This window comes from Homo sapiens, chromosome 16, assembly GCF_000001405.40.
Source record: "Homo sapiens chromosome 16, GRCh38.p14 Primary Assembly".
NCBI lineage: Eukaryota > Metazoa > Chordata > Mammalia > Primates > Hominidae > Homo > Homo sapiens.
This window is the reverse complement of record NC_000016.10, coordinates 51,004,411-51,017,414: the sequence shown is the minus strand read 5'-3', so window position 1 is coordinate 51,017,414 and position 13,004 is coordinate 51,004,411. Positions and strand designations below refer to the sequence as shown.

The window sequence follows — 13,004 nt, the reverse complement described above, 5'->3', positions numbered from 1 at the left end:
GTTGTTAATGTTAAATGGGGAGGGGCATCAAAGGATGGAGGATGACATCTAAACTTCTGGCTTGAACAAATTCTGAGTTGGGATGGTATATTCGTCTTATCAGATATATAAGTGGACCTCTTGAGAGCAGGGAATATTTTCTTGTGTCTTCCGTACACCCCCTGTCCCCTCAAGTGCCTTGGACAACATATTCCACTGATGCTTACTGGTTAATTGAAGGTGGAATTGAGGAAAGAGGACTATCAGGAAAGTGAAATTTTTTTTAATTTTTAATTTTTATAAATTTAGGGGGTACAAGTGCAGGTTTCTTACATGCATATATTGCATAGTGGTGAAGTCTGGGCTTTTAATGTGCCCATCACCTGAATAGTGAACGTTGTACCCAATGGGTAATTTTTCAACTCTCACCCCCTTCACACACTGTCCCACCTTTTGGAGTCTCCAGTGTCTGTTATTCCACTCTGCATGTCTGTGTGTACCCACTGCTTATCTCCCACTTATAAGTGAGAACATGTGGCATTTGACCTTCTGTTTCTGAGTTATTTCACTTCGGCTAATGGTCTCCAGTTCCATCTATGCTGTTGCAAAAGACATGATTTCATTCTTTTTTATGGCTGAATAGTATTCCTATATATCTATATATCCTATATATCTATATCCCATATATCCATATCCTATATATCCTATATATATATCACATAGGAAAGTGGAATCTTGAGCTCCTCAAACTGTTGGCAGAATGAGCTAATGTGGGGAGCTTTGTTGGCACTAGTGACTGATTTTTGCTTCAGCTTCAGAGGACTGGGCCTTTGTCTAATATTTCAGCGATCTCACCATCCCAAGCTTAGTGCCTTAAAACAACAATCATTTATCATCTCTCCAAGATTCTGTGGGTTGATTGAACACTGTGGGGGTGGTTCTTCTGTTCCAGGTGTTGCTGATTAGAGCTGGAATCCTCTGGGGACTCAATTCTGCTGGAGCAACCAAGAGGGCTGTCTCACATGGTTGCAGTTGATACTGGCTGTGGGCTTGAAGTCCATTCGGGGCTGTTGAGCAGAGCACCTTGATTTACCTCTATGTGGCCTCTCCTTTGACTTGGACATCTCACAGTGTAACCATTGGCCTCCAAGGGAAGAAAGCTTAACTGTCTTTCTCAAAGTCTGCACTTGGAAGTCCCAAGACAATTTTTGTGCCCAAATTCAAGGAGGGAGGAAAGGGACCGCCTTTGGATGACAAAGAATTAGTGGTCATCTTTAAGCCACCATATTGAAACTCCTGAACCCATGTCTGACCTTGCCCTGGAGCTGGTCAGCTGCAGCCAGCATCTTCCTCGCAGACAAGTCACTCCCATTATTCTGTTTGTGAGGTTACCCAGATCTTAACTTTCAGTGGGCTTCTCAGTGTGTGACCACTGCAGTCTGTTCATAAGGCCTGAAGGATGGTATTATCACGCCCCCTCCTTGCCCTTTCATTGAGCTTCCTAAAGCAATTTCAACTTGCCCACACCTCTGCCTCTTCAGATCTTCCTCCTCTACACCTAAATAACTCTCACTTGCCCTTCCTGTCTCAACTTAGGAGCCACCTCCTCCAGGAAGCACTCCCCTATGCTCTCAATGCATCATGATTTAACCCCTTACCTGGCCCTGCCCATCCAATCATTGCATTTTTCCCTCGAGTTGTCACAGGCTGCTCACTTCTTGATCATCTCCATTAGACAGAAGGTTTTACAGAGGGCGGGACTGTGCTTAATTCTCCATCGTGTTCTCAGAGCCTCACATGGTGCCTGGGATCTAGTTGGTGCTTAATAAATGAAATATCCCCATTATTTCCTACTCTCCTACTCCCAGAATCCATGCCACCAAGAAGGCTAAAGATTGGCAATTGGAAGAGGGAAAGCCAAGGAGAAGTTAGCAGGGAAGGCCTGGGAGCCCAGGGGGAAGGGAACTGAGAGACTCTAAGAACACAGTGCAGGTAGGGAACCACTTTGCTGGGCCAAGAATTCTGGTATCATTCGCTCAAAGTCAGACACTTGTGTCCCAGTGGTTTCCTGAGCTTTAGTAAAGTCTTAAACCCCAATAAATGCTTTATTCACATCCAAGAACACATTATACCTTGGGGCGGCTCAAAGACCCTGCCTAGGAAGGAGAAGGGGCACGCTGAGAAGGAGACCCTGCCTAGGGAGGAGAAGGGGACACGCTGAGAAGGAGACCCTGCCTAGGGAGGAGAAGGGAGCAAGCTGAGGAGACCCTGCCTAGGGAGGAGAAGGGGATATGCTGAGAAGGAGACCCTGCCTAGGGAGGAGAAGGGGATATGCTGAGAAGGAGACCCTGCCTAGGGAGGAGAAGGGGATATGCTGAGAAGGAGACCCTGCCTAGGGAGGAGAAGGGAGCAAGCTGAGGAGACCCTGCCTAGGGAGGAGAAGGGGGCATGCTGAGAAGGAGACCCTGCCTAGGGAGGAGAAGGGGGCACGCTGAGAAGGAGACCCTGCCTAGGGAGGAGAAGGGGACACGCTGAGAAGGAGACCCTGCCTAGGGAGGAGAAGGAGGCATGCTGAGAAGGAGACCCTGCCTAGGGAGGAGAAGGGAGCAAGCTGAGGAGACCCTGCCTAGGGAGGAGAAGGGGATATGCTGAGAAGGAGACCCTGCCTAGGGAGGAGAAGGGGATATGCTGAGAAGGAGACCCTGCCTAGGGAGGAGAAGGGGGCACGCTGAGAAGGAGACCCTGCCTAGGGAGGAGAAGGGAGCAAGCTGAGGAGACCCTGCCTAGGGAGGAGAAGGGGATATGCTGAGAAGGAGACCCTGCCTAGGGAGGAGAAGGGGGCACGCTGAGAAGGAGACCCTGCCTAGGGAGGAGAAGGGAGCAAGCTGAGGAGACCCTGCCTAGGGAGGAGAAGGGGATATGCTGAGAAGGAGACCCTGCCTAGGGAGGAGAAGGGGGCACGCTGAGAAGGAGACCCTGCCTAGGGAGGAGAAGGGAGCAAGCTGAGGAGACCCTGCCTAGGGAGGAGAAGGGGGCATGCTGAGAAGGAGACCCTGCCTAGGGAGGAGAAGGGGGCACGCTGAGAAGGAGACCCTGCCTAGGGAGGAGAAGGGGACACGCTGAGAAGGAGACCCTGCCTAGGGAGAAGGGGGCATGCTGAGAAGGAGACCCTGCCTAGGGAGGAGAAGGGGGCACGCTGAGAAGGAGACCCTGCCTAGGGAGGAGAAGGGAGCAAGCTGAGGAGACCCTGCCTAGGGAGGAGAAGGGGATATGCTGAGAAGGAGACCCTGCCTAGGGAGGAGAAGGGGCACGCTGAGAAGGTCACATCTTTGGGCTCCCCCTGAAAAAGTTTTTCCAAAGCAAACACATGTGAGTTTATAAAGGCAGGTTCATAAAAAAGAAATCAGAGGGGAAGTCATGGATCTAATAATGCCCCAAGCCCTTATACTTTCCCACAGGCGTCTGGGGCCTGACCCCCAAGTCGGATTGAGCCACCCACCCAGATGATAGCTGGCCTCTAAGCTGAGGGGCCTGGGGAGGCTTCAGTGATCCCTCTGCTGTAAATGTTGCCTCGGCTGACCTATAACTCTGGGGCTGTGGAGGTGAGTGTTTATTCATAATAAGTAGCACCTGGCTGAGTAGGGGGCCTCTCCTACCCCCAACCTTCCAGGTCATACAGGCAGAGCTCAGGCTGTGGTCTTCTGGGGACAGGTTTCAAAGCAGCTCCTTAACGGCCCCCTCCTGGGTACTAAACAAAACTGCTCCTCCTCTCTGTATTCTCTTCACCCTGACTTTTTCCTCCCCTAAGAGCCATGTTCCACATCCCAGCTCGCAGCATTGACCTCTTCCTTACTTATTCTGCACAAAATGCAAGTGTGTATTTCCTGCATGCCTTCCTTTTGATATCCCAGAACAGAGAAGAGGGTCTGAACTAAAACTGTAGGGGCAGAAAGAAAAAAAGCAGCTATCATCCTTAGCTTCCCTGGGCATGGCATTCACATGCCAACATTTGTCACACGCAAATGAACATGATTTTCCCAACATGAAAAATTTCACTTCAGTCCTGCTGACTTGGGTTTACTAATTGCCTGATAGCATTTTCTTTGTTAAGCTTCACTGTGATCATCACACTTTTTGTTGAACTGACAGTAGAAATATTCCGCAGCCAACAACCCAAATGCAGCCTAATGCACGAGGACACTGATCTTTCATGATGGGGGTACATGCAGGTACAAGTGTCATTGTACAGGCCTCCAAGCCTCCAGTCTCTGAAACTGATGTCTGTGCAGGGCTTCCTGGGGCTGCCATAATGCACAACTTCAGGAAGATGCCATTCACACTGTGCTCCTGTGCCCAACGTCTCTGGAAGTGAGTGGGGTACAATTGTGCACACTACCCAGTGGCCCTAGAATACTCCATTCTGATTCTGGGGGTATGGCTGGGAAAAATGCAGGGAAACTAGTGAAGCTGTTTACTAAAGGCAACTGGAGCAGGGCCCAGGGAGAGGGCACCCATATTCACAACGTTGTTCTAGGTTGTGTTTTTTAAATTCTGAGCTGCCTGCCTCCCTCCCCAAGGCCCTTTGATGGAGGCATCATTAGTTTTACTGGTCAAGTCCAGTTGTCAAATGATACCCAGGGAAAGAGAGACAGCCTGGATACTAAGGGATGATTAGAATACAACTGAGGTTTGGGGAGAGTAAGGGGAAACCCTGTGGAACTTGGGGGTCCCTTCCCTGTGGGGGCAGTGACAGAGTGAGCCACAGGGAGATCTCCTCACCTAATCTGCACGCTCCCTCCTAGCAATGAGGTGCAGCCTTCTTATCAGCTGAAGAATTCAGCCAGCCGGTCAGGGTCGCATACCACACAGTGACTGGGCCTGGCTCGGCTGTCTAGCCAAGAACAGACTGGTCTTTGTTCCTGTGTGACTGGGGGTGCTACTCAGGGATGGAGAATCTAGGGTGGGTGCAATTATGAGATTTTTTTAAGGTATAGAAATTGTATCTCCCATCTTGGACCATGGGAAAATAAACTGAAGGAGTATGATGTTGAAAGAGGAGAAAGTGGGGTCATTTTCATTGCTGGAAATTCATCTTCCCAAACGTGAACCATGAGTTCACCTGCCTTCCTATTGTTGCAAGAGCTACCACTGGGGTCAAAACAGTGCACTTAACTTTCAAATCTGGTTCACCTTCTCCTGAAGTCATATCCCCTAAGGACTCATAATCCCAAAGTCTTGGCATTTAAAGAATTCTTATAGGTCATCCGTTCATCCATCCATACATCCATCCATCAATCCATCCATCTATTCATCCATCCCTGCATCCATCCATCCATCTACCCACCCACTCATTCACCCATCCATCCACCCCCCTGTTTACCCACCCATCTACCCATCCATCTATCCACCTATCTATACATCCACTCATCCATACATCCACTCATCTACCCATCAATCCATCCACCCACCCATTCATCCATCAATCCATCCATCCATCCAACAACCATTTATTGAGAACATACTATGTGCCACCCAGTGGTGAACAAGAGAAACAATGACCCTCCTGTCATGGAGCTGACATGCTATTGAGGGAGATGGACAGTAAACAAGTAAACAAACAAATAAGCAAAATAATTACCAGATCATGGTAGATACCCAAAGAGAGAAAACCAACGAGACATGAGAAAATTAGTGGAGAGGCCTGGCGTGATCAGGAAAGGCCTCTCCAAAGAGGTAACATTTAAGCTGAAAACTAAAGGACAAGAATAAGCCAACCATACATAATAAAAATGAAAACAAAACAAAACAAGCAATTGAACAAAAAATGGGAGAAAAGTATTCCAGGTAGAGAGAATAGCAAGTGTTAGTTAAGAGGATTCTCTCAAGTGGGCAGAAGCTTGGCAGGTTTGAGGGGCAGAAAGGAGCCCAGCATGGCTAGAGCAGGGGGAACTTTGCAAAAACCTTTTGTTCCAATGAAAATAACACAAAATCTAATATAAAATAAATCAGAGCAGAGGGATTCAGATAAAGTCTGGTTAAAACCACTGATAAGATTCACCACTGCCAGAAACTAAGATTTCCCCTATAATATTCAGTATTTATTTGAATTATTTGGTGATGCCAAACCATTACCTCCAAAATCAAAGTTTATGGGCACCTCAAGAGTGTATGAGTCTCAAGGGAGCAGGGCTTATGGCAGGCAGGGCTTTCCTTGGGGTAACATCTTCCCAAACAAAAATTCTGCATATTTGCTGAAGGGTTGACACTCCGTCGGCCAAATAGCATCAGGCTGTGGGTTCCCCCTCCCAGCCAGCTGTAGGCTTATCCAGCTGGTTCTCGCTGAGCAGTGCACAGGACATATTTCAGACCAGGAGACTTTGAAGTATGTGTTCTCTTAAGGCTTAACGATGTCAGGCTTCATAACCCAAGAACTGGCTTGCTAGCTTCCTACTTTAAATTGCTCATAATTTGAAACATGCAAACATTTCCACTTTATCAAGCAGGGCTACTAAACATATTATTGCTGGAACCTGCATGTTTTATGGTCTCCATACAGCCAGGGAGCTGAGTTTTATTAAAATAGACTGTTAAGAGTCTCAATTCATTATGGAATCTTTCAGGCCCCAGAATGAAAGAGTTTTGTTTATTCTAAGGGCAGAAAAAAAGGGTTGGGAAGAGAGTGAGGATAACTCTGTGTGTGCATCTCTGTGTAAGTGCACGTGAGTGTGTGTGTGTGTGTGTATGGCAGGGGAAGAGGTGGGAAAAAGGTAGAGACCACCAACAGTCTCAGCCCTGGCCCTCACTGCCCCTTCCACCTCACTTCTTGTACCAGCTGCCTGTCTGAGGTGGAACATTTGTTTGTGGGTCTGTTACTTATGGTAGAGCTGGGTCTGGCTTCAAGACAACTGGAATTTAGCAAAGAAGGGTGATCCTCTAGGGGGAACAAAAGAAGCTCAAGGGCTCCTCTGAGAGTGGGCACACCGAGGATTTAAAAAATGGAATCTAGTCAACAAACAAGAACTAGGCACAAAGCTATTAAAAAGGATATTGATGGTGCAAACAGGCCAGGCTACATCTTTCCATTCAGTATATTCCTGGGATGGGGGCAGTATTTAATGATTTTAAGGAAAAGACCATGTAATAAAGCCATTCCTATGTATTCAGGTAACCTTCATTACTTGCTAGAGCAGAGATATGGAACTTCTTGTAGCATGTTGCTCCTAGCCTGCTATATCTCATTGGCATGCTAGTCCCCATGCTCTCCTGGTTATAGAGGTAAGGTCTTGAGACTATATAGGGTGGTAAAGAGGTATCCACCTGTCCTCATATCCAAGTTAACCCTGCAGTTAGATTCTAGCCCCAGACTAGTATCTGTCTGGCAGCAATTGCATGAGAGACCCCAAGTGAGACCAGCAGAAGAGCCACCCAGCTGAGCACAGTCAACCCATAGAAATAGGAGAGATAATAAATAGTTGATGTTGTTTTAAGTCACTAAGGTCTGGTTTGATTGATTATGTAACAACAAGTAGTCAAAACACCACATTTCACTCCCTTCTTTTACTTGGAGGATTTGGGGGAAAAAAAAGCAGTTCTCACAGGGTAGACAAAGGTGTCTTCCAGTCATGCAGATTATAATGATGATGATAATAATAATGATAGCTGTCATTTATTTAGCACTTAGAATGCACCAGACACTATTTCTAAGTGTTTGATTTTATATGTCACCTGAGTTAGGTTCTACTGTTGTCTCCACTTTACAGATAAGAAAACTGAAGCTCGGAATCTGAGTCCACAGTCCTGGCTAACTCTACAGTCCAACTCTTGCAGCCAGGCCTGAAACCCTGTGACACTGCTGTCAACACAAGTTTCCGCACACGGGAAGTGCTCAGCAATGTTAGCTGGCACAAATTATGCCAGCAAGTCCTCTGGACTCTCCCTTCATCCCACCTTTACTAAGTATTGCCTGGTTGCCAGGAACTGTGCTGGATTCTAGGAATGTCTCCAAAGCCTGGCATGAAACCCACTGGCCTCCCTCTGGAGAGGCTGTCACAGGCCTCTGGGCATCCTTTAATCTCTGCAGCCACAGTGCCTGATGCAATGGCTGATCCTGCATTAGTGAGCAGTGTTTAGGAAATGGGTTTATGAATAAATCACATATGAATAAACAAGGGATGAGTGGGCAGCTGGATAGATGGACAGATGGATGGATGTACAAATAGAGTATATTATGTTGCACATACATTTTAAGCCTCCTCTGGAGTATCTCTCATAGTGCCTTTAATTTTATAGTGTCATTCTCATCTCTCTATGATTTTTTTCTCTATTTTTTTTTATTTGGTCTAGGTCCAGGGCAAATAGGGTAGGGGAGTCGGAGCTGGCCATGCTGGAGGTTGGAAAGGTGTTAACAAGCTATAAATGACCTTCCCTGGCCTATTCAGGCATAAGTAATGTCTCCAAATTGCCTACAGTCAAAACTGCCAATTCCAAGCTGATTGCAATGAATCAGGCTCCCCCTATACGCAATAATGTGATCAATTTCTCATTTCGCTGAATAAATAAGCTGGAAGATGGGGAACTGTCTCTGACCCACCGTTAACCTTCTGCCTCGTTATTCATATCAGACCTATGACATACATGTAAGAAATCCCTGGTTCAATTTTAGCTAATTATTTGTTAGGAATGAAGGCTCTGTGAAGTGTTACTGATGGTACAAGTGTCCAGGGACCTCCGGGCCGAGAAAATCAGGCTGAGAAAACCTTTGTCTAGAAAGAGGAAGGCTGGGAAGCAGCTTCCTTTTCTTTCCCCAGCCAAAAGCTTAGTGTTGGTGTGTTCATGTGTTTGTGCACATTTATTTGCTTCCAACTGTGATGCCCTGGGAATTTATGACAGTGTTGACTATTGTTATCTTACATCTTCTTATTGTAATTAGTGCAGATCACCCTCACAGATCAATTCCTTCATTGGGAGTAAATGCTGCAATAGTCTTTCCCCTCCCCCCTGCCCCACACACTGTCCCCCTGGTGTGGACATTGAGGGACCAGAGCTTTGGGAAACATTAACAATGTTCATTTAATTGGCTGGCTGCCTCTAGAGAGATTTCTGGGGATGCTGCAGAATTATGTTTGTGCTTACTGGGAGGGGTGAAGCCCATGCAGTGGCTTTGGCAGGTGCTGCCTGCAGAAGTGCCAGACTCTGTTGACCTGGTCCAGGGGACAATGGTGGCTTCCTTCCCTGAAACAGGGCACTGGTGGTGGGACCCTGGACCCGCCCCAGAGGCAGCTTGGATGGAAGGTTATGACTGTTTGCCCTTGCCAGGGCTCTATCTGAAATCAGCTTGGTAATTCCCTTGAAATCTCCCAAGACTAGCAGAAAACATGCTATTCTTAGGAGCATTTGTGTTTCCTTAAGAGAATAAAAGCCTCTGTCACACACTAGCTGCTTTATCACCTTTGTAATGCTCTAGTCCTTTTCCATTTTCAGAGTTCCTGAGAATTTTCCCCAACCACTCTCACCTCATGAGACTTATTCAATGAGCAGGTCCATTTATTTTATTCAACATATACATTCTAACACATGTCAGGCACTGCGTTTGACTTTGAGGGTAGAGTATGGAGGAATAGCATTATCAGGAATCTTGTCCCAGTGGAACTTTCAGTCTAGTGGGGAGACATAATATTTAAGATAGCATTGTGATGAGGAGTGAGGGGACATTCATGAAGGTGTGGGGCACAGAGGAGGTGACAGATTTGGGGGTCAGAGGGGCTGACCTGATGGTCATTCTAAAGTATGAAAAGCTGGGATTTAGGGGAAGAAAAATATAGGGGTTGGGCTGTAACTCTGAAGGCTGTCCCATTGCATGTGAGATGGGTCTCTTGAAGACAGCATACTGTTGGGTCTTGCTTCTTAATCCAACTTGCCACTCTGTGCCTTTTAATTTGGGCATTTAGCCCATTTACATTCAAGATTAATATTGACATGTGTGGATTTGATCCTGTCATTGTGTTGTTAGCTGATTATTATGCAGACTTGTTTGTGTGGTTGCTCTGAAGGATAAAAAGCTGCACTTCATGAGAAGAGGTAGAAAGTGGGTGGGATGGTGGGGAAGAAGAATGTCTACTAGAAGCAGCAGCACATGGGATGTCTGCAAAGAAGTAAAGAAAAGGTCAAAGAGGTGAGCAGGACCAAGTCATGAAGGGTTTCATCACTCCACTTCCTGATGTAATGTTCCAATGCTGACAGCAGATGTGGGCTCCGTGAATAATGACTCTAGGTCTCAGAGTCTAGGCTAATAGACTCCAATCAGGACTGCCTCAGACAAACCAGTGTGTAGAGTCACTATATTCAAAAATCATGTCCAGGAGCTTTGATTTCTAGGATTTTTATCCCAAGGTCTCTTGAAAGCAAATGAGAAGATCAGCTTTATACCTTAGGAAGATCTCAGTCTCCTGTGGTTGATGGTTTGGATGAGGGCAAAAATGATGGAGAGGGATAGGAGGACCCTGTGTCTTCCATGAGGTGGGCTGGGGCATAGAGTAGATAAGATTTGCTCCATTTTGCAGATGCAAAGACTGAGATCCAAGGAGACAAAGGGGCTTTCCAATCAATAGCAATCATTGGGTGATCAGCTTCACCCAATCAGTAGAAATGAAAGTTCCAGTGTGGACCCAGTTTTGCTGTTTTCCACAGTGGAAAACCTATTTTCTGTTTGGGTCATGAGAGCAGCCCCAAACTTAATGTTCAGTATATAAAGCCCAAGGAAAGCGGGGGGGAATTTGTCACCTTTAAAACAGAATGGATCCCTGGGGACCAAAACCTGTGAATCTCAAAGGAACTAAGAAATCTGTATTCTACAACACAGTAATGTGACATTTTAGATGATCAAGAACAGAAATATCCTCTTTCCCCTGGAATATGGATGACTGGGCCAGGGTTCCTCAAGTTGTTATGAACCACAGGCCTGGTCAGAGACCTCTGAAGCATGTGTCAAGCACCCTCTCCCTCAGGGCTTTGTGTGTGTCTTCCCTCTGCCAGGAACATCCTTTCCCTAAAAAGTCACATGGTTCATTCAGGTCTCTGCTCAGATGTGGCCTTCTCCAGGACACCTTTCTTGCCCATCCTGTCCAAAGTTGCTTTACTCTCTTTACACATGATTATTTTTCCTACCTAACACCATGTGTCCTATGGTTGTCATTTTGTAATCTGTTTCCCAACAGATTGATATGAGCTTCCCAAGGACAGGAGCTCTGTCTCACTCACTCTGCATCTCCAGTGCTTGTATACGGTTGGTACTTAATAAATATGTGAATTGCATAGATCAATATTGAAGTCACTGCTTCCATGAAGGATTCTTAGAGGGGCATCTCCAAGATGCTGAGAAGGGTCAGTCACATGAGGACAGACACAAGCACTCAGCTGCCCTGGTGCCGAACTCAGCACACCAACCTCAGACCAGAGACTCCCTCTCTTCCTAGTCCCTCTGCATCCTTAAGACCAAGAAAGAGCCAGGCACAGAGCACAAGCCCAGTAGAGGTCTGTTTGAATGATGAATGACTGAACAACTTGAGTGAATGACAACATTAAATCTCCTCTGAGGTCAGGACCAGAAGCAGACCCCAGCTGGAGGGAATTGTGGAACCATGAGGAATAATAGCATTATCATGACCAGAGCTGCCATTTATTGATTGCTTATTATGTGCCAGACACAGTCTAATCATTTCACATTCATGATCTCATTTAATCCTCAGAAACCCTCATTAATTGCTACTGTTACTATCCCCATTTTACATATGAGCAAAGCAAGACCCAGTGAGGTTAAATAACCAGCCGAAGAGGATACAGTAAGGGCATAGCACAGTCAAGATTGGAATCCAGGACACTCGCTTCCAGAGCCAGTTCTGGGCTGTCCTGTGGGCAGGGAGTGCAGGAGCAAGTGCTAAAACCCTGGCTAATGGCAGGTCATATTCAGTCAGTATGCACAGTAGGAGGGCCTCCATACATAGCTATCTGCAAAGAAGAGGGAGAAGAAGAAAAGCTCAGCTTGGGGATCCATGTGTCTGACAGGGGAGGCATACCCTGTGTCCCCCAGCCCTTTGGGAGATTCCAGCTGGGGAAGAGAAACCATTCCTCCATTTGATTTGTTTTTGGTTTTTGTTTTGTTTTGTTTTTAGAGGTGAGTCTTGCTCTGTCATCCAGGCTGGAGTACATGGGTGCAATCATAGCTCACTGCAGCCTCAAACTCTTGGGCTCAAGTGATCTTCCAGCATCAGCCTCCCAAGTAGCTGCAACAACAGGTGTGTGCCACCATGCCCAGCTAATTTTTGTATTTTTTTATTTTTGTGAGACTATAAAACTCACTATGTTGCCCAGGCTGGTCTCAAACTCCTGGGCTCAAACAATCCTCCTGCCTCAGCTTCCCGAAGTGTGGGGATTACAGGAGTGAGCCTCCTCGTCCAGCCATCCCTACATTTGTATTAATAACTATGGAACAGCAAGCTCCTTAAGAAAAAAATACAAATGGGTTTAGACTTCATTCCTTTGTTTGATCATTCATTAATTCAGCCATTTGATTGAGTTCCTACTATGTGCCAGGCACTGTTTTAGGGGCCAGGGTTTCAGCAGGGATCCTATCAGGCAGATAGGATTCCCACCCTCCTGGAACTTACTGTCTCATGGGAAAGATAATAACAATACAAGGGGGCAAGCATGGAGCTGGGGACAGTCCAGGAGCAGGGAGAGCAAAGAGCACCTAAGCTGAGGCTCCTCGAGAGGCATCCACTGGAAATGAAGGGAGAGCAGGAGTGGGCCAGGCAAAGGGGCCCGGGGAAGGGGCACAGAGAGCAGCAGCCTCACGAGGGCAGTGCAGGTGGGAGGAACGAGGTCTCTATTTTGAAGAAAGGGATAAAGCTTAAGCTCAGACTTAAGAAGGAGATCACTTGCCTAAAGATACCCAGTCAAGGCAGGGAGTGTGGCTGAAACCCTGCTGAAGAACCTGCTTCAGGCCGGGCACAGTGGCTCACACCTGTTAT

The 13,004-nt window shown here is 46.7% G+C and overlaps 1 long non-coding RNA gene across 1 annotated transcript; it reads left to right on the top strand.

The window, feature by feature from the left end:
* Positions 1 to 3,459: 3,459 nt before the first annotated feature.
* On the top strand, positions 3,460 to 8,147 carry LOC124903775 (uncharacterized). The gene is made up of 2 exons (XR_007065206.1): positions 3,460 to 3,581; positions 7,740 to 8,147. It is a non-coding gene; the product is annotated as an uncharacterized LOC124903775 (long non-coding RNA).
* Positions 8,148 to 13,004: the final 4,857 nt, after the last annotated feature.